This window comes from Homo sapiens, chromosome 9, assembly GCF_000001405.40.
Source record: "Homo sapiens chromosome 9, GRCh38.p14 Primary Assembly".
Taxonomy (NCBI): Eukaryota; Metazoa; Chordata; class Mammalia; order Primates; family Hominidae; genus Homo; species Homo sapiens.
The window spans coordinates 129,664,526-129,687,421 of NC_000009.12; the positions used below are offsets into that span (position 1 = coordinate 129,664,526).

Genomic DNA, 22,896 nt, shown 5'->3' on the forward strand with positions numbered 1-22,896 from the left:
AAAAATTACCCGGGCATGGTGATGCACACCTGTAATCCCAGCTACTCGAGAGGCTGAGGCAGGAGAAGCGCTTGAAGTCAGGAGGCGGAGGTTGCAGCGAGCCGAGATCACGACACTGCACTCCAGCCTGGGCGACAGAGCCAGACTCTTGTCTCAAAAAAATAAAAATAAATAATAATAATAAATAATAAATAAAAATAATGGTCCGCAGGCTTTCAGGGATGTGTGCGGGCCGGTTTTCCATATGGGAACAGGGAAAGGATGTGCTGAAGGCTTCCTCCGGTAGGCGACTTTGGCTGATGTGACTTTATGCCTCGTAGTGAGGGCAGGGCGACAGAGGGACGGGCCGGTGAGCGGCTGTCCTGGAGAAAGAGCAGTGGCATCCGGGGGGCTTAGGGTCTCAGGTCTGCTCACTCCGCACATCTTTTCTGTGCTTTCATTGAAAAACAAAACTGAAACAAGAGCGGACACCTAAGTCTGCCTCTCTCTTTCCTGTCACCCGTCTCAGGCTGGCTGTCCTCTGTGTGTGCGCCAGGAATTCTGCAACGAAGCGCCTGCCTCTCCGCTTGGTTTTCCTTGGGGAAGGGCCTGGGGCCTCCTGGGGGGTGGGCACCGGGTGTGTGGGTGTGTGTGGGGGACCTGGCAGGGAGCAGCGGGGGAGAGGCGGGGTGGGGGGTCGCGTACACCCCAGGAGCCTGAGGATGCGCTGCCTGCTGGGAGAGACAGCCTTGGGGCGGGTGGTGTGCACAGAGCTCTGTCGGCCAGCGCGGGCGGGCGGGGCCGTTGTTGGGGGCGCTGAGGCGAGTGAGGCTGGAGCTGGGAGTGGGGGGCTCGTCGCCTTCGTCTCTGGGCCGCCCCCTCCACCTGCGGAGGCGATTGTAAAGGGAAGGGGGGAATCCCTCTGCCATCACCTCCCAGATACTTGGGGGATGGAAAACGACAAAACACGGAACCTCCCACTCCCTAAAAAGTGGGTGGGGAGGGTGAAGGGAGGACACCCCTTCCCCGCCCCCAGCGCCAGCAGCCGGGGTGGGGGCGGGCGAGGCGCGCGGGGAGGAGAGGGCGGAGGAGAGGACGGGGGGCGAGGTTTGCTTCAAGAAGGGGCGTGTGGCCGGCGCAGCGCGTGCACCAGCGGCTCCGGAGCGAGCGGCCGTGGCTGAGAAGGGGAGGGCGGAAAGTTTGTTTCCCCGACGTCAGCGCCGGGCGGGCCGCGAGGCTAGGAGGCGGCGGGAGCTGGGCAGAGCGCGGGGCGGCCGGGGCTCTCGCTCCGACCCGCGCCCGCGACCCTTCCTGGGACCCGAGCCCGAGACCCCCGCCGGCCCCCCCGGGGCCGCTCGCGGGCATGGACAGCGCGGCCGCCGCCTTCGCCCTGGACAAGCCGGCGCTGGGCCCGGGGCCGCCGCCGCCTCCACCCGCGCTGGGGCCCGGCGACTGCGCCCAGGCGCGCAAGAACTTCTCGGTGAGCCACCTCCTGGACCTGGAAGAGGTGGCGGCGGCCGGGCGGCTGGCGGCGCGCCCCGGGGCCAGGGCCGAGGCGCGGGAGGGCGCAGCACGGGAGCCGTCCGGGGGCAGCAGCGGCAGCGAGGCGGCGCCGCAGGATGGTGAGTACGGCCGGCCAGGGACGGGGGTGGCGGGGCCGGGGCCGGGGCCGGGGCCGGGGCGCGGGGTCCGGGGAGCCGGCGCGGGGCGGGCGAAGATGCAGGGCGCGTGGTCGGCGGCAGGACTTCTGGGGGCGCGTGTAAGTGACGGTGGACGGCGGTTGACCAGCACTCTGGGCTGGGGGAGGGGGACCCTCTTCGGGTCTTGGGGTGCGTCCCCACGGGGAAGTGCGCTGCCTTCGCTCCCCAGTATTCGGCTCCCGAACAGCCTGGGAAGTGGGTGTGGCTGCTGCCGGGTTACAACTGGGGAAACAGAGACCTGAGTCGGGCAAAGCCGCTGAGCTGCACGTTGGGGTTTCAAACCCGCCCCCTCCCGCACGAGCTAGCGCCGCCCCAGCTCCTCCTCGGTCTTAAGTTGGGCTCTTTGGGGGGCGAGGGTGCCTGCCCACCCCCCCCCACCCTCCAGTTTGCCCCGGGAGCAGCTGCCTCGGTGGAACGGCCCAGCCAGGCCTCTCTTCCCCGGCAGAGGTCAAAGGTCATCAGGAAGGGGCTTTAAAAACAAACAACCCACCCAAGTGGCCTTTTTCAAAAAGTGACACAGGATGGCAGGGTCCTGAGCCCTTGGTAAGAAGGGGAGGGACGGGGAGAAGATGGAGAAAAAGCAAAGGCCCCAGCCCCGGACGGTTCAGTGGGGGAGGGGAGGACCGGAGTCCTCGCGGCTCAGCACACACTAAGGATGGGGGCCCGGTGATCTGAAACCAGGCCCCTGTCCCCTAGCTCTGGGGATGGGCCGGCCTGCTGGGGGCTCTGGGCCCCTGAAGTGTGCCCGCCTGACTCCAGCAGCCCTCCCACCCGCCCCGGGGGACCCTGTTCCCGGCACCAGCCTCCAGGTCTCAGGGTGCCCAGGCTGGTGGCTGCGTTCCTTGGCTTTTCAGAGACAGGAGGTGCAGGGAAAACAGAGGTGGCTGCAGCCTAGTCTGAATCCATGTGCGTCCACGAGGACGCCTGCGACACGCCTGCCTTTCACGGGGCACCTTCTGCCAGCCTGTGGCTGAGATGAAGCCACTGGCTCCCTCATGGCAGCGGCCACCACTCACTGGCCACAGTGGACTGGCCACTGGCTGCACCCTCCGGGGTGAGTGTGAAGCCAGCAGACCTCCCAGGAGTTGGGGTTTAGCTCCTCAGTAGAAAAGGGGAGGGAGATGTCCACTCTGGCCCGGAGGAAAGCAGGTGCCCTCTGGTTTGTGCTGGGGGAATGCCCTGCCGGCCCAAGGTCATTTGAGGACCTCAGCGGCTCTGAGCCGGTCCCCCAACCCCAGGACAGAGGAGAGGTCCCGGTTTACCCTGATGAAGGGAGACTCCAGGGGTTGGGAAGAGAAGGAGGAACAACTTGAAGGTGAAGGGAAAGAAGGAAAGGAGAAGGCAAGGAAAGGAGAGAGAGAGGGAGGAGAGACAGAGGAAGAGGAAGGAAGGGAGAGGAGAGAGGGGTGAGGAGGGAAGGAAGGGGGCCAGGGTGTCTCGTACTCCAGTCCTGGCCAGGGGACGGCCTGCCCATTTCTGACCTACCCCTGCTGTGGGGACAGCCAGGGAAGGCCGTGCTTCTCCCGGACACGGTGTTGGAGGTCTCTGGTGGCGGGTTTCCCCGGGGATCCCAGAACAGCTAGTGTCAGCTGGGGATGTGGGCGCCTAGACAAGGCCCTTGGCAGCCTCCAGGCAGCTGGGTGTGCAGTGGGTCTCCCCAGCAGCTCCCTGGGGCTAGCCACCCTCCTGGAGAGCCCATGAGGCCTCCAGGCCTTCTCCTAAGAAGGGGCATTGGCACACTGGGAGTACCCAGGCATGCTTGGGACACACTGGGTGTGGGATCAGGTGGGGTGGGGTCTGGGCCAGGCTCCAGGAGGCGCTCGTGGGCTGGTCCGTCTTGGAAGCTGCCTAGCTCTGCCCTGAGGACGATGGAGCCCTGGCAGGGAGAGTCCCTGGGCTCCGCCCGGGGTGTGGCCCGGATCTGGGTCTACAGGCAGAAGGTGGAGAGAGGGGACTGCAGGGCAGGCGCCAGTTTCCAACTCATCCATCTGGGTCAGGCGGCCCCACCACTGCCACTTGCTGTGGACTCCCAAGTCCTGAAGGCTCCAAAGGTGGGGGAGATGGGATCCTTCTTTCCCCATCATCGACCCTTTGAAAGTGGGCAGCCAAACCTTGCTGGGCTTGCCGGGACTGCAGACCCCAGGCCAGTGGGCTGAGTCTTGGGTTGCGGCATCATCCTCCAGTCCTGGACATACAGGAGCCCGGTCCCCTCACCACGGATCCAGACATGCTTGGAGGTGGGTTTTCCTGTGGCTCTTGGAGTTGTTTTCAGGTCCAAAGAAAGATGGTCTGGCCGGGGGCGGTGGCTCACACCTGTAACCCCAGTGCTTTGGGAGGCTGAGGTGGTTGGATCACTAGAGGTCAGGAGTTTGAGACAAGTCTGGCTAACATGGTGAAACCCCATCTCTACTAAAAATACAAAATTAGCCGGGTGTGGTGGTGCATGCCTGTAATCTCAGCTACTGGAGAAGCTGAGACAGGAGAATCCCTTGAACCCGGGAGGCGGAGGTTGCAGTGAGCCAAGATTGCACCACTGCACACTCCAGCCTGGGCAACAGAATGAGACTCCATCTCAAAAAAAAAAAAAAAAAAAAGAAAGAAAGAAAAGAAAAGAAAGAGATGGCACCAAAGAGGGAGTGCCCCCATTAGAAAAATAAGGGTTAGCCAGGTGCAGTGGCTCACACCTGTAATCCCAGCACTTTGGGAGGCTGAGGCAGTTGGATCACAAGGTCAGGAGTTCAAGACCAGCCTGGCCAAGATAGTGAAACTGCATCTCTACTAAAACTACACAAATTAGTCAGGTGTGGTGACAGACGCCTATAATCCCAGCTACTCGGGAGGCTGAGGCAGGAGAAAAAAAAAAGAAAGAAAGAAAGAAAAATAAGGGTTAATGGGGGACACCAATGAGTTAGGAATTAATACGTCTTCAATCTGCTGGGATAGCAGGCTCAAACTTTTTTTAATTTAAAAATTTTTGTTTGCACAAAGCCACCAGTAGATAAAGCCCGCTACTGCCAATGACTTTCTAAGACCAGGCTCCCTCCAGAAATGGCCGGGAAGACCGTGGCTTCGCCAGTGACTCAGAACAAACCAGGGTCGCGGGTTCCTTCCTCGCCAGTCAAACGCTGAGGGCTGCACCAGGCACGTTAGGAAAACAAACCCTGGTTTGCTGCCTTTGCAATGACTTACAACAAAAGAAACCACATTAATAACTGAGATTTTCTCTAAAGCATTCCCTCCTGTGGGCAGAGTGGAAACGGGGACGTGGACACACTGGGAAAATAAACAAAGCCCCTAGAGCCAGGCAGGGGTGAGGCCTCTGGCCAGGGAAGGCTGGGCGGCCAGTGCTCAGGGCTGGTACCTGCTTTGGAAAACCCCAGGATTCACTGCAGGAGAAACCTTGGGATCCCACGTGGATTCATTTTCCAGAGATTTCGGAAGATGAAGTGCTTGCATCTAAGGCACGGGGCAAGGCAGGGTGAGGTGGGAGCCCTCGAGGGGCTGTCGGTGCATCTGTTCATAGGGGTGGGTCTGGTTTGTGGTGGGGGTCCCCAGGGCTCAGCTCAGGGCCTGAGTTAAGAGACTGAGTTAAGAGACTGGCAGACCTACCTTCAATTATTTTTTATTGCGATAAAAGATGCCTAACATCAGATTGACCATTTTCACCATTTACAAGAATGCTGTCCGGTGGCATTAAGTCCGTTCACATTGTCGTGCAGTCGCCACCACCATCCATCTCCAGAACTTTCTCATCTTCCCAAACTGAAACCGCACCCCCTTGAACATGCATTCCCCCTCCCCCAGCCCCTGGCACCCAGCAGTCTGCTTCCTGTCTCTGTGGATTTGACTACCCTAGGGATCTCGTATGTAAGTGGAATCCTACAGTATTTGCCGTTCTGTGACCGTCTTATTTCACTTAATGTGACGTCTACAGGGCTCACCCGTGTAGCATGCGTCAGAGTCTCCTTCCTTCTGAAGGCCGAATCACATTCCACTGTACGGATGGACCACATTGTATCCGTTCACCCATCTACAGACACGTGGGTTGTTCCCATCTACTGTGAACAGCACCGCTGTGGACGTGGATGTATACAAGTCCCTGCTTTTAATGATTTGGGATATCTAGTCAGTGTTGGAATGGCTGCATTCTATGGTAGTTCTACCTTTAATTTTTTTATTTTTTAGTTTTTCACGGAGTCTTGCTCCATTGACCGGGTTGGAGTACAGTGGTGTGATCTCCGCTCACTGCAACCTCCGCCTCCTGGGTTCAGGTGATTCTCCTGCCTCAGCCTCCCGAGTAGCTAGGATTACAGGTGCGTGCCACCATACCTGGCTAATTTTTGTATTTTTAGTAGAGACAGGGTCTTGCCTTGTTGGCCAGGCTGGTCTTGAACTCCTGACCTCAGGTGATCCACCCGTCTCAGCCTCCCAAAGTGCTGGGATTACAGGTCTGAGCCACCGTGCCCGGCCCTACCTTTAAATGTGTTAAGGGTCCATAATACTGTTTTCCACGGCTAACTTCGGTTTTTAACCGGCCTCCCTGTAACTGATGCTGAAACAGGGCATCATCACAAGACCAGAGCCAGGCTTTGGAGGAAGAGACAAAGGGGTCCCTTCAGAGCCCAGCCTTTGAAAGGCAGCTTGCGTTCCTTCCCCTCCCCTCTCCCCTTCCTTCCCCTTTCTCTATTTCCTGGGACAAGGGGAGTCATGCAGTCAGTGAGCATTCTTTGGGGTGCTGGGATGCTCCAGTTGGGGTCCTTGCTTTTGCCTTCCTCTCCGTGTGTGACCTTGGGGGTGTCATGTCACCTCTCTGTGCCTCGTTCACCACCTGAACAGTGGGAGATGGCGTACAAGGGTTGGGAGGCCCTCCCGACTGAGATGATTTGACTCAGGCTTAGGAACCCCATGATGGGCGTGTCTCCCTGGGATGTGGGGTCTCTGAGCCTGGGTCTGAGCTGGGCCTGGTGCCTGGACCCTCAGATGATCATGTCTCAGCAGGAGCCGGGGAGCAGGGAGGGAGGAGGAGTGAGTGAGAGGCTGAGTGCCCAGGGGGCCTTCCGTTTGGGAACTGCTGGGCCTCCCAGCGTGGCTAGGGCGGGACAGTGGCCTGCATCTCGGCCTTCTTTTCGCCAGGGAGGGTTGGTTCATTATTTGTGGTTCCAGGACCTCTTGCTCCTCTGTCCAGTAGATCATCTGGGTGGAGCTTGGGGGCCTGGCACAGGGGGCTTAGACCGGCTTGCCCTTCTCTGTGAGCAGAAACTCAACAGGCTGGAGCCACCACTGTCCCCTCCCAGAAAACTCCAGAAAAGCAGCTTGGAGCAGTAGTGACAGCGCCGGCTTACACACCTCCCTTGAGGCCTGAAAAGAACCCTGCGAGTCAGTGTTGCCATCTGTGGGATAGGAACAAGGGCTGTGGTATCCCTCAAAGGGCGTGTCGAGCCCTGAGTGGGTGAGGGTTCTGGGTACCATGCCTAGTCCACAGTAAAGTGTCTCCACTGCAGCTCCTGGAGATGCTCTCTGAGGGCCTGTGAGTCAGGCGAGGCTGTCAGAGGCCCAGACAGGCAAAGCAACCTGCCCGAGGCCTCACAGCTGGGAAAGGAGAGGAGGGATTTGGTTTTGGATCACAAGTCCAGGCCTCCCTCTCCTGCACAGTCCTTGGGCTGGAGGAGTCAGGGAAGGGGAGCTCTCCTGGCTGTTGGGGAGATTCTGGCTGAGGCTTGTTGGGGACTAAAGCGGGTGGGAGGGGAGGGGCAGCACGGAACGGGCTCTGTGCCTATGTTAGGCGTTTCTGAGTAGGTGGGGGCAGGAAGGAAGGTTTGCGGTGGCTTGTCCCAGGCAAGAATGTGGGGTCAGGCTGGACGCGGCAGAACTTGGGGCACTTCCGTGGTTTCCTAGACCCTAAAGGACAGTGGCTCACCCAGGGTGGAAGGGGACCTTGGGGGTGATTTAAGGGGACCCAATGCTTGCTTGAAGATACCCTTACAGCAGTGTACCACCCTGGGCCAGAGGCTGCGCCAGTGGAGCAGAAGGGGGTGGCCGTGGTGGGGCTGAAGGAAGGCGTGAGGGGACGTGGTGAGAGTGACCGGGAAGCCTCGTGGGCACAGCAGCTGTGTGCTCTGCATGTCGGCTGGGGCATCACAGGCCTCACTGGAGTTGTCCTCCTGCCAGCCGTGTGAAGCCCATTTTATGAAGAGGGAAACTGAGGTGTGAGGTGAAGGTCACACCGTTCCCATTCCTGTAAGATTCCAGCCTGGCCCTCCTGTTCCAAAACCCCTGATCTCTACCACTGCCTGAAGCTGCCCCTGGCTCCCGGGAATGCTGGGGTGGCCTGACCAGGGATGTCCACACCCAGGCAGGCGCAGGCTGCATTCAGGGGCCGTGAGGTGGCCCGGGGTTGGGGGGTTTCTCCTTAATATCTCCAGCAACCTGGCCTGGGTCATGTCCCAAGTGTGAGGGAGATGGGTCAGGCCTGGAGAGTGGGGACTGCCCGGGGCTGGGGTGTTTGACATGGGAGTGTGGGGGTGATGCCCTTCCCCTCCTGCCCAGAAATAACCGGAACGGCCTCCCTCACCTGTCTCCAGCTGCCCGGATGCACGAGAGCTGTGGAGGGTCCCTGTCTCTGTGTAACAGCAATAGGACAGGTTCCCTTTCCCCCTCCATCCCCAGCTCCCGCACTTGTTCATTCATTCATTCATTCATTCATTCATTCATTCATTCATTCTACAGTCATTTTCCGAACACCTATAATGTGTCAATCCTTGAGTTCCACTGCCGGCCTGTGGTTCCCAGACTTCCAGTTTTCAAGTCCAGTTAAATTTCCAGTAACTGAGAGGAAGTGGCATACAGTGGACAGCGTTAAAGGTTTGCCAAGAAAAGCCATTTACTCACAGCCCTATGTTCCCACCCTTTCATCCAAGAAAGAACCTTTTAGTATCTTCATCTCTGAGTACAGAAAGGTTCTTGGCTGGGCAAGGTGGCTCAAGCCTGTAATCCTAGCACTTTGGGAGGCTGAGGCTGGAGGATTGCTTAAGACCAAAAGTTCAAGACCAGCTTGAGCAATGTAGCAAGACCTTGCCTCTACAAACAGTAAAAATTAAAAACAATTAGCTGGGCATGGTAGCATGCACCTGTAGCCCCAGCTACTCGGGATGCTGAGACAGGAGGATCCCTTGAGCCCAGGAGTTCGAGGCTGCAGTGAGCTGTGATTACACCACTGCACTCCAGCCTGGGCAACAGAACAAGACCCTGTCTCAAAAAATAAAAAAACGAAACAAACAAAGGTTCCCAAAATTGACTTCATTTAGCTTCATAAAAAGCTCACTTATTGCCCCTATTTTTCTCATTTTGTCGGTGAAAACTTTGTCCTAGGCTGGCATTTGGGAACCACATGGTCTGGCTTTCCCAGACTCCCAGACACAAAGACACACACAGACCCATACCCCCCATGCCACACACACACACACACACACACACAGGCACACACACGCCCCTCATCACGAGGGCTCCAGCCCGGCCCCCTGATGGAGCCCTGGCTGTTAGTGGTCAGGGTGGCCGCAGCTGCTGGAGAGTAGATGGGCAGATACATCTGCACCTGTGCGGGCCAAGGGTTAAGTGCCTTTTGCGAGGTGGTGAGTAGGAGAGAGTCGTGGGAGCTTCCTGTTTAGACAGAGGGAGGTTGGGGTTATCTTGCTGGCTCCCACACTGAGCAGACGAAGAGATGGGGTGCCCGGCGGTCAGCATCCCGCAGGTAGGGAGGTGACGTGGGGCAGGGGGGCAGGTGGCAGAGCATCCCCAGCCTGGAAGAGGCAGAGCTGGCCACGGCTGCCCCTCCCAAGGAGCATGGCTTACCAGGACACCCCGCTCTAGCCAGAACCCAGGAGCCACAGAATCGCACCAGATCCTGGAAACAGAGGTTGTTATGAGACCCAGAAAGCACTGGGTCCCTGGTTGCTCTCGCTGCCCTGAGCCCGGGTCCAGCTGCCCTGCTCTGTGTCCCTTCCACATCACGGAAGTTGTTTGTGCCCAGCCAGGCTCTGGGGGGCCACCAAGATGACAGAATGGGTCCCCATGGCGCCCTTGATGGCTAATGATATCTTTCCTTGTGTCCTAAAAATGAAGCAGTCTCTGGAAGATATTATTCTGGTTTATCTCTGTGATTGATTCTGCTTTTCTGTGCGTGGGATGGGCAGCCTGGACCTTCCAGTTTGGGGGCGGTAGGAGGGGCTAGGAGTGAGTGGGGGCAACGGGTGATGGAGCAGCCAAGGAGCTGAGGCCTGTAGGATTGGGGACCGGGCAACAGGCTGTGGGCTGCAAAACTCGCAGTCTTTGGAGAAGACTTGGGAGTGAGACAATGACAGAGAAGGAGGCCCAGGCTGTGAGGACTGGAAACTTCCACAGAGGGACCCCCCCGCCCCCAGAGCTGAGCGAACACCTCAGTTGCTTGAGATTTGACAAGGTGAGGGCAGGTGACCTCCTGTAACACTGCTGCCCAAGACGCAGTGAGAAGGGCCCCAGACTAGGAGTCAGGACATGGGGTTCCTGCCTCGCCTTGCCCAGCTCTACAGCTTGAGACACACCCTGTGGCTGGTCTGAGCCTCCGTGTCCCCATCTGCAAGACAAGAAGGTTGGACATTTGTTTATGGACATATTTAGTGTGGTCCCAGGAGTCACTGCGTCAGAATCACCCAGGGAGCTGGTGCGTGTTCCCAGGTCCCACCCTGACCCACCGGATCGGACTCGGAGCCTAGGCCTATGCGTCTGCATTCAATAGCCCCCTGCCTAGCGATTCTTGTACCCTGCTGCGGGCTCCTTCCAGAGCTGACTCTGCCTCCATTACCCTCCTCAGTTTACCCGAGTGGAAAGCGGTCCTCTCGAGGGGACAGAGAGGCCGGGCAGAGCTGCCGCAGGATGCATAAGGCTGGCTCTGGACCTGGAAGGGCCCGGAAGTGTCCAGTATACAGGAGAGGGAGGGGGCTGCGCTGAGGCTAAGCCCCAGCATCCCCAGGGACTGGATTTTGTGCCAAAGCTGCACTGCCGGGTCTAGGAGGAAGTATTTGCTCTCGACCATCCACCAGCATCCATTGAGCACCTACTGAGTACCAGCCCAAGGCAGCCCAGGGGCGTGGAATGCAGGGGTGATGTGATAGGGACGATTCCTGTCTCTCCCTCACCAGCATCCTGACCCCCTCTAGCTTTGGTGGCCAGGGTTGGGGTGTAGGAGGCAGTCAAAAGCACCCCTGCTGAGCTGGAGCCACTGGACAAGCCCCCTCCTGGCATCCTGCCGGCACCTCCTGCCCCCCTGCTACCCTCCCTCCCCCATGGGGTCCCCTCAAAGGGCTCTCTTGGGGATGGGGATCCACTGCCCCCAGGGGGCGGCTGCCTTGCCCCAGACTTTGTCCTCCTGCCCCCACCCCCGCCTCCCTGTCTGTCCTCCCCCACTGCCGGTCTCCCCCTCGCTGGCCTCCCTTCTTGCCGTGGGCGCAGACGTTTACACGCCAGAGATGGCGTTATTAAAAATGACATTTAACCAGAGCTGGAATTACCACGCGGATGGCTGCAAACCTCGGAATCAAAGCGGGAGCCGCCAGGCGGGCGCGCCTGGCAGGGGCCTCGCAGCCTCTCTCGCCGCCAGAGCTCTGCGCGGGCCTCCCGTATAAAACCCCGCAGAACGCCGAGGTCTTGAAAGCCAGTGCACCTCCTTTCATTAGACTAACAAATAACGCGTAACAGAAAACAGCTGTTAACAGCAGCCCTCTAATGCTCTCAAGATGGTGCCTCAGGCAGCTGGTCCAGCCAGTGGGCAGCCGGTGGGCAACTCAGCCTCAGGTGGAGGCTGCTCCCACCCCAGGTGGGTGTAGAATGTCTGGCACCCTCCCGTTTTTCCAGGGCTGGGTCTGCACCCTCTGGGACCTGGGAGCCTCCTTCTCCTTCTGTCCTTCCTCCTGCTCAGTCATTCACCCGCTCCTTGCTGAGAGCCCATGTCTGAGGGTCTGTTGGCGAGGGGTTGGGCCCTGGGACGGTGGGAATCAGGGGTGGCATGGCCAAGAACATGGGAAGCAACAGCCAGATCTTGAGCTCCAGCCCCACCTCTGGCCCGCTGAGGGACCATGGCTAGTTTCTCTCTAAGCTCCTTATTTGTCATCTGGGGAGGACAAGAGTCACACCTTCTTGCAGGGAGGTTTTATGGATTTGGGAGATGATGGAAGTGGAGTTCTCAGCAGGCAGCCAGACAGTGCTCAGAAGAAAGAGTATCTGCAATCGTGGTTACAGCTGAGGAACCCTGTGCTCAGAGAGGCTAAGTGACTTGCCCAAGGTCACACAGGGGGTGGAGAAGCCAGAGCCCATGTGCTTTCAGGACACTGTGAAGCAGGGACTGAGGCATTCAGAAGTGGGTCTGAACCGGCCCCTGCCCTCAGACGGCTTCCAGTCCACAGTTGATGTAGAGGATGAGCTCCCTAGCCCTCACTGAGGCCAGGCAACCCCTTGAGGCCCCCACCACTAACCCTGCGGGCTTGGAAGCCAGAGGGGCCTCCAGATGCAGACATCATTCCAAGTGTGGGTGCTGGGAGACCCGGGGCCTCCCCAGAAGCCGAAGCGTGATGCCCCCAGCTCAGAGGGGCTCTGTCCTCAAACCTGGAGAAAGAAGGGCTGCATCCTAGGCTAGGGAGAAAAATCCAGAGAAAACCTCCCTAAGTTGGGAAGAAAGACAAATGGGCATTTTGTTTCATTTCCCCTCATGGTGAAGCCACAGAAGAGACCCCTTTGCCTTCCCCCTAAGAGACTGTATGTTAAACTCCGTGCCTCCCCACTTGCCACCAAGATCCTGCTCTGCATTTTGCTTGCAAGAAAACTGCATAGGATTCTCCTTATTTGCTCATTTGTTCAGCGCATGTGCGTGTTGTTTTGAGGCGTGGTGCTGGGAAAATCCCAGTGAACAGGCCAGCCCTGGTCCCAAAGGGCATAATCTCAGCACAGAGCGCCCCCAGCGATCCCGTTCTTACCATCTGCCAGTCTCCGAGCTCTAGGATTTATGCAGAGCCTCTCACTGAATCACTCAGCAGCCTCACGAGAGAGGTGAAGCTTTATCCTCATCTTACAGGCGAGGAAACCGAGGCTTAGAAGGATAAAGTGACTTGACCCAGGAAATACGCAGTGATCCCCAGAGCCCAGGTATCACACTGGCCACCTCACGCCGGTGCCTCAGATGGCCAAGGAGCCGCGCGGGGTTCTCCTGCTAGAAGCAGCCTAGGCTCTGCCTCTGGGGGAGGCCCAGGAGGGATGGGGGGGTTCCTCCCCACCTCCCGGTTCCTGCCTGGAGAGCTCTGCAGTGTCCTGAGGAAGGCCCCCCTCCAAACCCCCCATTTGCAGGGACACACCCATGCAGACACTGGGCCGTGGCATGGTCAGGCGGGGAGGCTCCAGGCCTTGCTGTGATGGGGAGGGGGGTGACCAGGGAGGGGCCCTTGCCTTAGGGAAGCTCATGTTTCCTAGAGACATCATGTTTTAATTGGAAGGCCAGCCTCTCCCGCAGAGCGGGCCGCCCCACCACCACATCCCTGCGGGAGGAGAGTGTCAGGGCTCAAAGCGGGAAATTGCTAGAGACAAGAAGTAAAAACGGACTACTCTGATTTCACTGGGAAGGAAGAAAGAAAAGGCAAAGATCTAATACCAGCTGAAAGCAGGGTTGCTGTTTAAAGAAAACTGTTGCTGTTGCAGCAAATTTAAGGCTGCGGCTGCTTTTTCTTTCTTTCTTTCTTTTTTTTTTTTTTTTTTTTTTTGAGATGGAGTCTCACTCTGTCGCCCAGGCTGGAGTGCAGTGGCGCAATCTCGGCTCGCTACAACCTCCGCCTCCAGGGTTCAGGTGATTGTCCTGCCTCAGCCTCTCGAGTAGCTAGAATTACAGGCACGTACCACCATGCCTGGCACATTTTTGTATTTTTAGTAGAGATGGGGTTTTGTCACGTTGGCCAGGCTGGTCTCGAACTCCTGGCCTCAGGTGATCCGCCTGCCTCGACCTCCCAAAGTGCTGGGGTTACAAGCGTGAGCCACTGTGCCCAGCCTAGGGGGCGGCTTTTTCAAGGGGCTGGTTTCTCTGTCAAGGGAGGAAAAGTCAGGGAGGCCTTCTGTGAATGCTTCTCTCCTTCCACAAATATTGTTGAGCACCTACTGCACGCCAGGCCCTGGCCAGGCACAGGGGCCCCTGCAGGAATCAAGGGAGCTGTGGTCCTTGGTGTGAAGGAGACATGCTGGATGCTATGACAACACACGACGGGGCCCCTACATTGTCTGGAGGTTCAGGGACGGTTTCCTGGGGGAAACAGAATTTCAGAAGGGACCTCAAGAATGAGTGGAGTTGTCCAGTAGAGGAGGTCAGGGAGGGCACGCCGGGTGGAGGAAACAGCAGACGGAAAGGCTCCGAGTTGGAAAGAGCATGGCTGTTCTGGAGCAGAAAGGGTGGGAGAGAGCATGATGGGGGCCTGTGATCTGGCAGACCTTGTTTGAGGTGTGTGACTTTTGTGTTAAGAGCAGTGGGGATGCGTTCTGTGTGTCTGTGAGTGTCCAGAGTGGCCACTCACTCCGGCCCTCTCTGGGGGCGCTCTCAGTGAGCATCTCTTACGGTCACATGGGAAGCCAGTGTGTGATATGGGGATGACAGTTGTGTCTCAGTTGCCCAGAGCTCGCTGGGCTGCCCCAGTCTCCAAAGGAGCTGACCACAAGCCCCTAACTGGCTGCCCCTGGCCCAGCTGCCGTGAGACCTGCACTGCCTGAGAAGCCCAGATCCTCAGCCAGGGAGGGAAAGCTCCAGGAGCCATTTAGAGCCAGAGGTGGGGCAGGTGGCCGTGCCCCACGTCGCAGTCCACCACGTGCAGGACGGCAGCACCAATCAGGGAGGTGGGGACGGGGGTGCAGATGTCCAGGCACTGGGGAGCCATGGCTGGTGATGAATTCATGGTGTCAGGGACCCAGGACCAGGGCTGTGTGTCCCAAGTGCATGACGACCCTGGGGTGGAAGCTTTGTTCACAAGATGAGGAAGGAAGGCCATCCCAGGCTATCTGACCTTGAATCCTGTATTCCACAAGGAATGGAGGGAGTCCGGGGTGCTGCTGCAGAGTCGGAACAGTTGAGCTGGGTGACGGTGGCAGGGGGGAGGTGGCTGTGAGGGCCCACCTCCATCATCGTCGGCCCCATGATCCAAGAGGACCATTTATTGTGCACCTGCCAAGTGCTACACCCTCTGCATGGATCATCTCATTAAATCCTCCCAAACATTCTAGAAGGCAGGCGGTTTTATGACCCCATTTTCTAGGTGAGGAAACTGAGGCCCAGGAAGCCAAGTTACACAGTAAGTACGTGGGGGCACCAGGCCTTGGGCTCTTGACTGTGATCTATTCCCTACCCCTGCCGACCTGGAGTCCCTGGATTGGGCTGACTGCGACCTTACCCAGCCTCTCCAGGCCTGGTTAGGAAGGGAAAGGTAAGAAGGTTCCATAACGCTGGAGCAGGGGCTGCTGAACGAAACCAGAGGTGATCCCTGGCCCAGGCAGGCGGGCTAGGGGCAGGGGCAGCCCCTCTTGTCCCCCATGCAGCTCAGTGGTGATGCAGACAGAGAAATGTAGAGCCAGCTCCAGAGAGCTCCCAAGGGCACCCCTCCAGGGCCTCCGTTTCCCAGGGATAGGACACGCTGGGGAGTGGCCCGGCTCTGCTGTGGAGATTCTGGCCCAACCTCAGCTCCACTTGCTGGGTGATCTTGGCAAAGCACTCATGTCTCTGAGCCTCAAATTCCTCACCTGCAAAATGATCATCATAATAGTACCTGGGGTTTGGGCTGCTCAGAGGAGTCGATAAGACCAGGCAGGTAGGGGATTAGCTTTACGCCTGCCTCGCCCCTGAAGAGTGCTCAGTAAACACCAATTTAGGCAGGCACGGTGGCTCATGCCTGTAATCTCAGCACTTTGGGAGGCTGAGAAGGGTGGATCACCTGAGGTCAAGAGTTCGAGACCTGCCTGGCCAACATGGTGAAGCCCCATCTCTACTAAAAATACGAAGTTAGCTGGGCGTGGTGGCGTGCACCTGTAATCCCAACTACTCCGGAGGCTGACACAGGAGAATCGCTTGAACCTGGGAGGCGGAGGTTGCAGTGCGCTGAGATCATGCCACTGCACTCCAGCCTGGGTGACAGAGCGAGACTCCGTCTCAAAAAAAAAAAAAAAAGAAAAGAAAAGAAAAGGAAAAATAACAATTTGCTTTCTCTCTCTCTCTCCCACCCCCCCCACCCGCCCTAGACACCTGGGAGGAGGGGCAGATGTCCCATTTAGGACCATCACGTTCCCTTCACAGATGGAAAAACTGAGGGAGAGGTTTCCCCAAGCCCCACAGGAAGGGGAGCTGAGATTAGGAACAGAGTTCTGGGTGTCAGGAGCTTGCCTCACGGCTTTGCTGGTATCTAACCATGCTTTCCAAAAGGGAGATAAGTTACCCAGCCCAACACCCCGCCCCCAGCCCGCACACAGGACCCAGATCCCTCTCCCCTGCCCAGCCCTGCCTGGCGACCTGGGATCCCCTCTCTGGAAGGACAGTGCTGATCCACTGCACTGAACCTAGCTTCTGGCTGGATGTGACCGCCACTCCTGTGCAGAAGGAGGCATCTTGCTTTATTTTCCACAGCACAAATGGTAACCATATATAATGGCAGATACCATCTATAAAACACAACTGTTTTTGTAATGTGGTGTTTGAAGTTAAAAATTCAAATTAGAGATTAATTACGACATCTAGAAGGTCTGTGGCTAAGACGACCTTGGGGAGGAAGGCTGACACGTTCAGATTTGCAGCCTGGAGCATTGCAGATGGGTACTCCCTGCGTGCCTAGAGCGTGCACATGCACTCGCACCCACACTCTGAGCCAGTCCCCGGGCTCCGGCAAAGCTGGGTTCCATGTGGCATTGGCATCCCTGGGAGAGCTGGTTTCAGTGCTGGCTCCTTTTCTGCCTAGGACACTGAGGTCCAAGCAGGCATCAGAGAGCAGGTTCCCTGGTTGGGTGTGATGGCTCACACCTGTAATCCCAGCACTTTGGGAGGCTGAGGCGGGCGGATCACCTGAGGTCAGGTGTTCGAGACCAGCCTGGCCAACATGGCAAAACCCCGTCTCTATTAAAAATACAAAAATTAGCCAGGCATGGTGGTGTGCACCTGTACTCCCAGCTACTCGGGAGGCTGAGGCAGGAGAATTGCTTGAACCCGGGAGGTGGAGGTTGTAGTGAGCCAGGATCATGCCACTGCACTCCAGCCTGGGCGACAGAGCAAGACTCCATTTCAAAAAAAAACAGAAAGCAGGTTCCTTGATGATAAAGCAGCCCTGGGGGTTGTGGATGCGGCAGCAGGTGGGGAGATGCCCGTGTCTGGGGCACCCAGAAAAGTTGTGAATGTCTTGGATTTGCCTCCATCCGGTGCCCCCTCTCTGCTCCTCCCTAAACCCGCCCTCCCTCCACCCCCCAAAACCAGAACCAGATGGAAACCCAAAGTGAATAGTGGATCTGAGGCTGGGGCAGATGGTGTGGGATGGGAGCCCCGGTGTGGGGAGTGAACCCCATTCCAGAAACACTAAAGGCCAATGCATCTCCTTCGGCACAGGGACAGCTTGGAGCCCGCTGCGGAAGAACCTCCAGGTTCTGGAGGCTTCTGGGCTCCCTGGGGATCACGGGCACATGTTTGCTGCTTTATTCAAAATGGGGAACCACAGCAGTGACTGGAAGCGTATGGGCTGCCTGTGGCGCCGAGAATTTTCCTCCCTCCACCTTCCCACGGTACAGGCTGGTCCCTGAGGAGGAGGCGTGGGTCTTAGGAGGAAAGCAGCTCTGGGGAGCTGTTGGCCAAATGCCCGTGGCCTCCTCCTGTGCCCGAGGTACCCCAGGGAGAGGAGGTCCAGAGTGGGGCCAGGATGTCACATGGATCCCACCTGGCTCCCTGGGGCAAGGGGCTTCTTTCCCTCAACCTCAGTTTCTTGGTCTGTGAGGTGGGGACGGTGACAGCACCTACTCAGAGGCGTGGGTGGTGAGGATGCAGAGAGATAGGAAGCACTTCACAAAGTCCTGGCACAGATGTCCCCGCCGCTGCTGCTGTGCGCACTATGTTACTATTACTGCCATTGCTATTATTCGCAACTCCTGTGAGGGCCCCTAAGAGAGGAGGGGCTGAGGACCAGCCATACCCCTGGCAACCGCAGGCCCCCAAGGACGCTCATCTCCCTAGCATGGGGTTGGAGAACTGTCCCAACCCACACTAGCTCCATATTAAGGCAAAAACTCCACTCCTCCGCCCCAGCCCCACCCTGGGGCGGGGTGGTGAGAATAGGGACTTGTTTATTCCTTTGTCTCTTGACTGGTCCAGGGTGAAGCTGGAGGGAGGAGGGCAGGGAGTGTCTCCACCCCCTCTCAGCAATGGCTTCGCCCAATCCCGGAAACAGCTCAGGTATCTGTGGCCCTACCCAGTCTTTGGCACAGCAGACAAAAGCCTGGGCCTGTGGCGGGGTCAAGGACAGCCCCAGAGAGGGGCTCCATCCTCAGGTCTTCCAGCACCACCATGGAGACCCCAGACCCGTCCCTCAATCTTCCCCTCCTTGGCCGGGCCCAGTGGCTCATGCCTGTAATCCCAGCACTTTGGGAGGCCGGAGTGGGCGGATCACCTGAGGTCAGGTGTTCGAAACCAGCCTGACCAACATGGTGAACCCCCCCCATCTCTACTAAAAATACAACAATTAATCCAGCATGGTGGCATGCACCTGTAGTCCCAGCTACTCGGGAGGCTGAGGCAGGAGAATTGCTAGAACCTGGGAGGCGAAGGTTGCAGTGAGCTGAGATGGCGCCACTACACTCCAGCCTGGGTGAGAGTGAGACTCTGTCTAAAAAAAAAAAAATTCCCTCTGGCTATGCCAGTTCCTGCCAGGCCACCATTAAGTCTTATTTGGGTGAAGTCACTGCCCATCAGGAACCCCTCCTGGGACTCCCTTCATAACAGTAATTAATCATCTCCCTTTTAGGAAGCCCCCACTACAGACTAAGCACATGACACACACGGTCTCCCCTCATCTTTATAGACAGATATTGACATTTCCATTTTAGAGATGAGAAACAGAGGCTCCTTCCTGCAGCACATATTTCTTGAGAGCCCCTGCTCTGTGCAGGTCCTGGGCACACACCCACCTGCCAGCCCTTATCGAGCTTACAGGTAACTGATAAAGACACAGGCAGGAGGCCGGGCGCGGTGGCTCACGCCTGTAATCCCAGCACTTTGGGAGGCCGAGGTGGGCGGATCACGAGGTCAGGAGATCGAGACCGTCCTGGCTAAAACGGTGAAACCCTGTCTCTACTAAAAATACAAAAAATTAGCTGGGCGTGGTGACGGGCACCTGTAGTCCCAACTACTCGGGAGGCTGAGGCAGGAGAATGGCGGGAACCCGGGAGGCGGAGCTTGCAGTGAGCAGAGATCGCGCCACTGCACTCCAGCATGGGCGACAGAGCGAGACTCCATCTCAAAAAAAAATAAAAAATAAAAAAGACACAGGCAGGTAATTTACTGCAGTGCTGTTAAATTCCACCGAAGAGAAGCACAGGGGCCTCTGGGGCTCAGAGGCGGGAGCGCCACCCCCAGGCTGCACAGCCAGCACCTGCAGAGGTAAGGCTAAAGCCCAGGATCAGACTTCAGAGCCCTCCTGTCCCTACCCTCTTCCTGTACAAGGCTATGGCTAACGGGAGCCCCTCCCAACAGGCTGCAGAGACTCACATCCTAAATTCGCCCAGAGAGGGACCCATGACCCTGGACCCCATGTGGTGGAGGCAGCGATGGGAGCAGAGGAGAGAAGATTCCTGAGGCAGGTCCACCAGTCCCTCTGGCACTGTGCTCCCTGCAGACCTGGGGGTGAGGGGTTCCTGGAGTGGGAGCCACACTACTCTAGTTCTGCCAGGGTGAGGACAAGGGTACGGTTATAGTTGGACTTTGGCATTATATCAGTCAAGGCTGTCACCTATGATGGGTAGAAGACTGGTCCCAGCTAGCTTAAGCAAACTAGGATATATTTATTAGCCTAATTTAGAAATCCAGGGTGGGACTTCAGGCACTGCTGGATCCAGGCTTAAGCAATGACACTGGGGCCTGGGTTCTCTCTCTCTGGCTTCACCCTTTCCTATAGAGGAGACACACACACAGAGAGAGACACACACAGATACAACACACACACACACACACACACACACACACACCCAACAGAAAAGATACCAGAAATCACACACACACACACACACACACACACACACACACACACACCCACACACACCCCAACAGAAAAGAGACCAGAAATCTCCGAAAAAGTCTCGCTGTGCCATGATTGGGTCCTTACCCACTTCTGAACCAATCATATGGCCAAGAGAAGTGGAGTGCTGATTGGCCGAGGCCTGGGCTGTGTGGGGTGGGGCCTCAGTGGCACCTCTGGGACGGGGAATGTAGGGAGGTTGCTCTCCACGTGGTGCTCCTGGGTGTAACAGAACTCACGTTTATAAAGGAAGAGTTCTCTAAACAGGACAAGCAGTGCTTCAGGTACATCTCATGTATTGTCTCACCTAATCACGGAGGGACTGTTAATTGTGCTTGCTTTATAGACGAGGCAGCCAAGGCTCAGAGAGGTCAAGAAGCTTTCCCAAGGTCACCAAGCTTGTGGGTGGAGTTGAGGGAACTCATTCCGGGGTTCCTGTGTCAATCATGACTCTCAAAGCAACCAGGAGGCCTGGACAACTGCCACTGGGCCACCCTTCCACCATCTTGTCCCCTCTACCAGGGCAGGCAGTGTGCCACTGACGCCCCTCCTGCCCTCTCCCTGGGCTGAGGGCATCACTCTGGCCAGAGTGGGCCCCGTGGGCTGAGTGGTACTCAGGAAGCTGTGGAGGGGTCATCACCACCCTACCTGGTTCCAAGCACAGGCCTGGGAGGCCAGGGAGCAGGGCAAGTTGGGGTCTGGCTGGGCCCAGGGCCCCCTACCAGTAGCAGCATCCCCCTCACGTTACATTAAGCACCATGGCAAGTATGCGGAGCCAAAAGCAGGGTGGACTGTGGTCCGCTTGCCGTGCCATCACAGGCAGTCCACATTTCACTCACTGTTTGTTCATTTCCTTTTTTTATTTTTATTTTTTTGAGGCAGGGTCTCACTCTGTTGCCCAGGCTGGAGTGCAGTGGCACAATCACAGCTCACTATAGCCTCAACCTCCTGGGCTGTTGATCCTCCCACCTCAGCCTCCTGAGTAGCTGGGTGACATGTGCCACCACCCCCACCTGGCTAATTCTTTAAATTTTTTGTAGAGACGAGCGTCTCGAACTGCTGGACTTAAGCAGTCCTCCCACCTCAGCCTCCCAAAGTGTTGGGACTACAGGCATGAGCCACTGCGCCCGGCCAGTTTCCCTTCTTCACTGTACTTTGGAACTAAGTTAAAAACAATTTCCAGTCTCCCATTTTCCTGGGCCTTTAAAAAGCTCCAGGGCCTTAGGTATTATGCACCCAAAGACTTAAGGGCGTGGTTTGTGAGTCATTCATTCATTCATCCATGCAGTGTTTACTGAGCACCGACAATGTGCCAGGCGCCACTGCTGACACAGCCCTGAGGGCGCAGAGGGAACCCGGTTCTTGGTGCAGTGTAAGCAAGTTGAGTTAGTGATGGTGGAGTGGCTGGGAGACGTGGCCAGACCCCCACGCCTTTCTGGACCAGTGAGGGAAGGGTTCCTACAGGAAGTGTTGTCTAAGAAGAGAGGTGAGGGCTGGGTTGGGCTTTGTGAAGAGGTGGGAAAAGTCTTCCAGCCAGGGGGAACTGCATGTGCAAAGACTGGAAGTAGCAGAGTACCAGCGTCCAAGGAGCATAAGGAAGGCCAGGATGGCTTGTAGTGGGTGGGGCTCGTAGGGGGCAGGGGCACCCAGTGAAGCTGGAGGGGGCAGGTCCTGGGAACTAGACCCTGGGCTGGCATGTAGGCTCCCCTTCTGGTGTTGCTCAGAACCAGAGTCAAGACAAGGGTGAGGGGAGTGAGATGCCTCAGGAGCAGAGGCAAGGAGGCATCGCTGTTAGGGCTGGGCCCATGAGGGGCGGGTATCTGGATGCAGACCTCCTTACTTTTGTTTTGTTTTTGAGACTTGGTCTTGCTGTGTCGCCCAGGCTGGAGTGCAGTGGTGCGATCACAGCTCACTGCAGTCTCCATGTCCTGGGCTCAAGTGATCCTTCCGCCTCAGCCTCCCAAGTAGCTGGCCACAGGTGCACGCTGCCACACTGGCTAATTTTTTTAAGAGGAGTCTTACTGTGTTGCCCAGGCTGTTCTTGAGCTCCTGGGCTCAAGTGATTCTCCCACCTCAGCCTCCTAAAGCTCTGGGATCACAGGCATGAGCCTCCCACCTCAGCCTCCTAAAGCACTGGGATTACAGGCTACAGCCACCACACACAGCTGACCCTCTTACTTTTGCAGCCTGGGTGCCTCCCTCACCTTGCCCCACACCAGGACCTGCTCAGAAGGGGGATCCCTGGTCATCTGCAGCCTCCGGATTCGCCCTCACCACCGGCCGCCCCTCCTCCACCCAGGCCCCTCCCCTCCCTTCCAGAAAATACTCCAATGTCCTTATTTTTTCGGGGGAGGGCCTTGATGGGTCCAGCGGGGGAGTGGGGTCTGGGCAGAATGCTAATGAAATCAGAGGAGCCCGGGTTGGGGGCAGGCCCTGGGCAGGGGAGAATTAAGCAATTGCAGGCAGGCTCTTTTCCATATTTGATTGGCGCTGGCTGAGGGACAGCCACCTGCAGGGAAGCCCCCTGCAGAGGGGGTGGGGGAGTAGTAAAGGGGACAGATCTGCTTCTTCAGGTGCCCTCCTCCTACTTGGCTGAGGCAGGCTGCAGGCCGGGCATGGTGTAATCCCAGCACATTGGGAGGCCTAGGTGGGAGGATCACTTGGGGCCAGGAGTTCAAGACCAGCTTAGGCCACAGAATGAGATCACCAACTCTATAAAACATTAAAAAAGAAAAAAAGTCGGCTGCATTCAACATGCACAGATGCTTCATGGAAGGAAAGGGGCAAAAGTGGCCTCGAGGCCTGGCAGGGGTGTTGTTCAGCGGGCCCCTCGGGGTTGGTGAGGGGTGTGGAGGGCCCCAGGGACCCCTGTGAGTCCTGCCACCTGACCACCTTCCAGGCATCATCTCAGA

General features: G+C 57.5%; 1 protein-coding gene across 1 annotated transcript in view, besides 6 other annotated features; it reads left to right on the forward strand.

Moving 5' to 3' along the window:
• The first annotated feature begins 1,121 nt into the window (after positions 1-1,121).
• PRRX2 (paired related homeobox 2) overlaps positions 1,122-22,896 on the forward strand; it is a 57,028-nt gene continuing 35,253 nt past the window's right edge. The window contains exon 1 of the mRNA NM_016307.4: positions 1,122-1,601. Coding sequence (NP_057391.1) covers positions 1,343-1,601 — 259 coding nt within the window. The 5' untranslated portion in view covers positions 1,122-1,342. The remainder of the gene's footprint in view (positions 1,602-22,896) is intronic.
• Positions 4,633-5,134: an enhancer, noted in NCBI's record as "H3K4me1 hESC enhancer chr9:132431437-132431938 (GRCh37/hg19 assembly coordinates)". NCBI's record gives its function as "activates a minimal SCP1, AML or CMV promoter by ChIP-STARR-seq in naive H9 embryonic stem cells {active_cell/tissue: H9 hESC(naive)}" and the evidence as "EXISTENCE:reporter gene assay evidence [ECO:0000049][PMID:30033119]".
• Positions 5,135-5,634: an enhancer, noted in NCBI's record as "H3K4me1 hESC enhancer chr9:132431939-132432438 (GRCh37/hg19 assembly coordinates)". NCBI's record gives its function as "activates a minimal SCP1, AML or CMV promoter by ChIP-STARR-seq in naive H9 embryonic stem cells {active_cell/tissue: H9 hESC(naive)}" and the evidence as "EXISTENCE:reporter gene assay evidence [ECO:0000049][PMID:30033119]".
• Positions 12,607-13,450: an enhancer, noted in NCBI's record as "H3K4me1 hESC enhancer chr9:132439411-132440254 (GRCh37/hg19 assembly coordinates)". NCBI's record gives its function as "activates a minimal SCP1, AML or CMV promoter by ChIP-STARR-seq in naive H9 embryonic stem cells {active_cell/tissue: H9 hESC(naive)}" and the evidence as "EXISTENCE:reporter gene assay evidence [ECO:0000049][PMID:30033119]".
• Positions 14,746-15,246: an enhancer, noted in NCBI's record as "H3K4me1 hESC enhancer chr9:132441550-132442050 (GRCh37/hg19 assembly coordinates)". NCBI's record gives its function as "activates a minimal SCP1, AML or CMV promoter by ChIP-STARR-seq in primed H9 embryonic stem cells {active_cell/tissue: H9 hESC(primed)}" and the evidence as "EXISTENCE:reporter gene assay evidence [ECO:0000049][PMID:30033119]".
• Positions 15,247-15,747: an enhancer, noted in NCBI's record as "H3K4me1 hESC enhancer chr9:132442051-132442551 (GRCh37/hg19 assembly coordinates)". NCBI's record gives its function as "activates a minimal SCP1, AML or CMV promoter by ChIP-STARR-seq in primed H9 embryonic stem cells {active_cell/tissue: H9 hESC(primed)}" and the evidence as "EXISTENCE:reporter gene assay evidence [ECO:0000049][PMID:30033119]".
• Positions 21,230-21,774: an enhancer, noted in NCBI's record as "H3K4me1 hESC enhancer chr9:132448034-132448578 (GRCh37/hg19 assembly coordinates)". NCBI's record gives its function as "activates a minimal SCP1, AML or CMV promoter by ChIP-STARR-seq in primed H9 embryonic stem cells {active_cell/tissue: H9 hESC(primed)}" and the evidence as "EXISTENCE:reporter gene assay evidence [ECO:0000049][PMID:30033119]".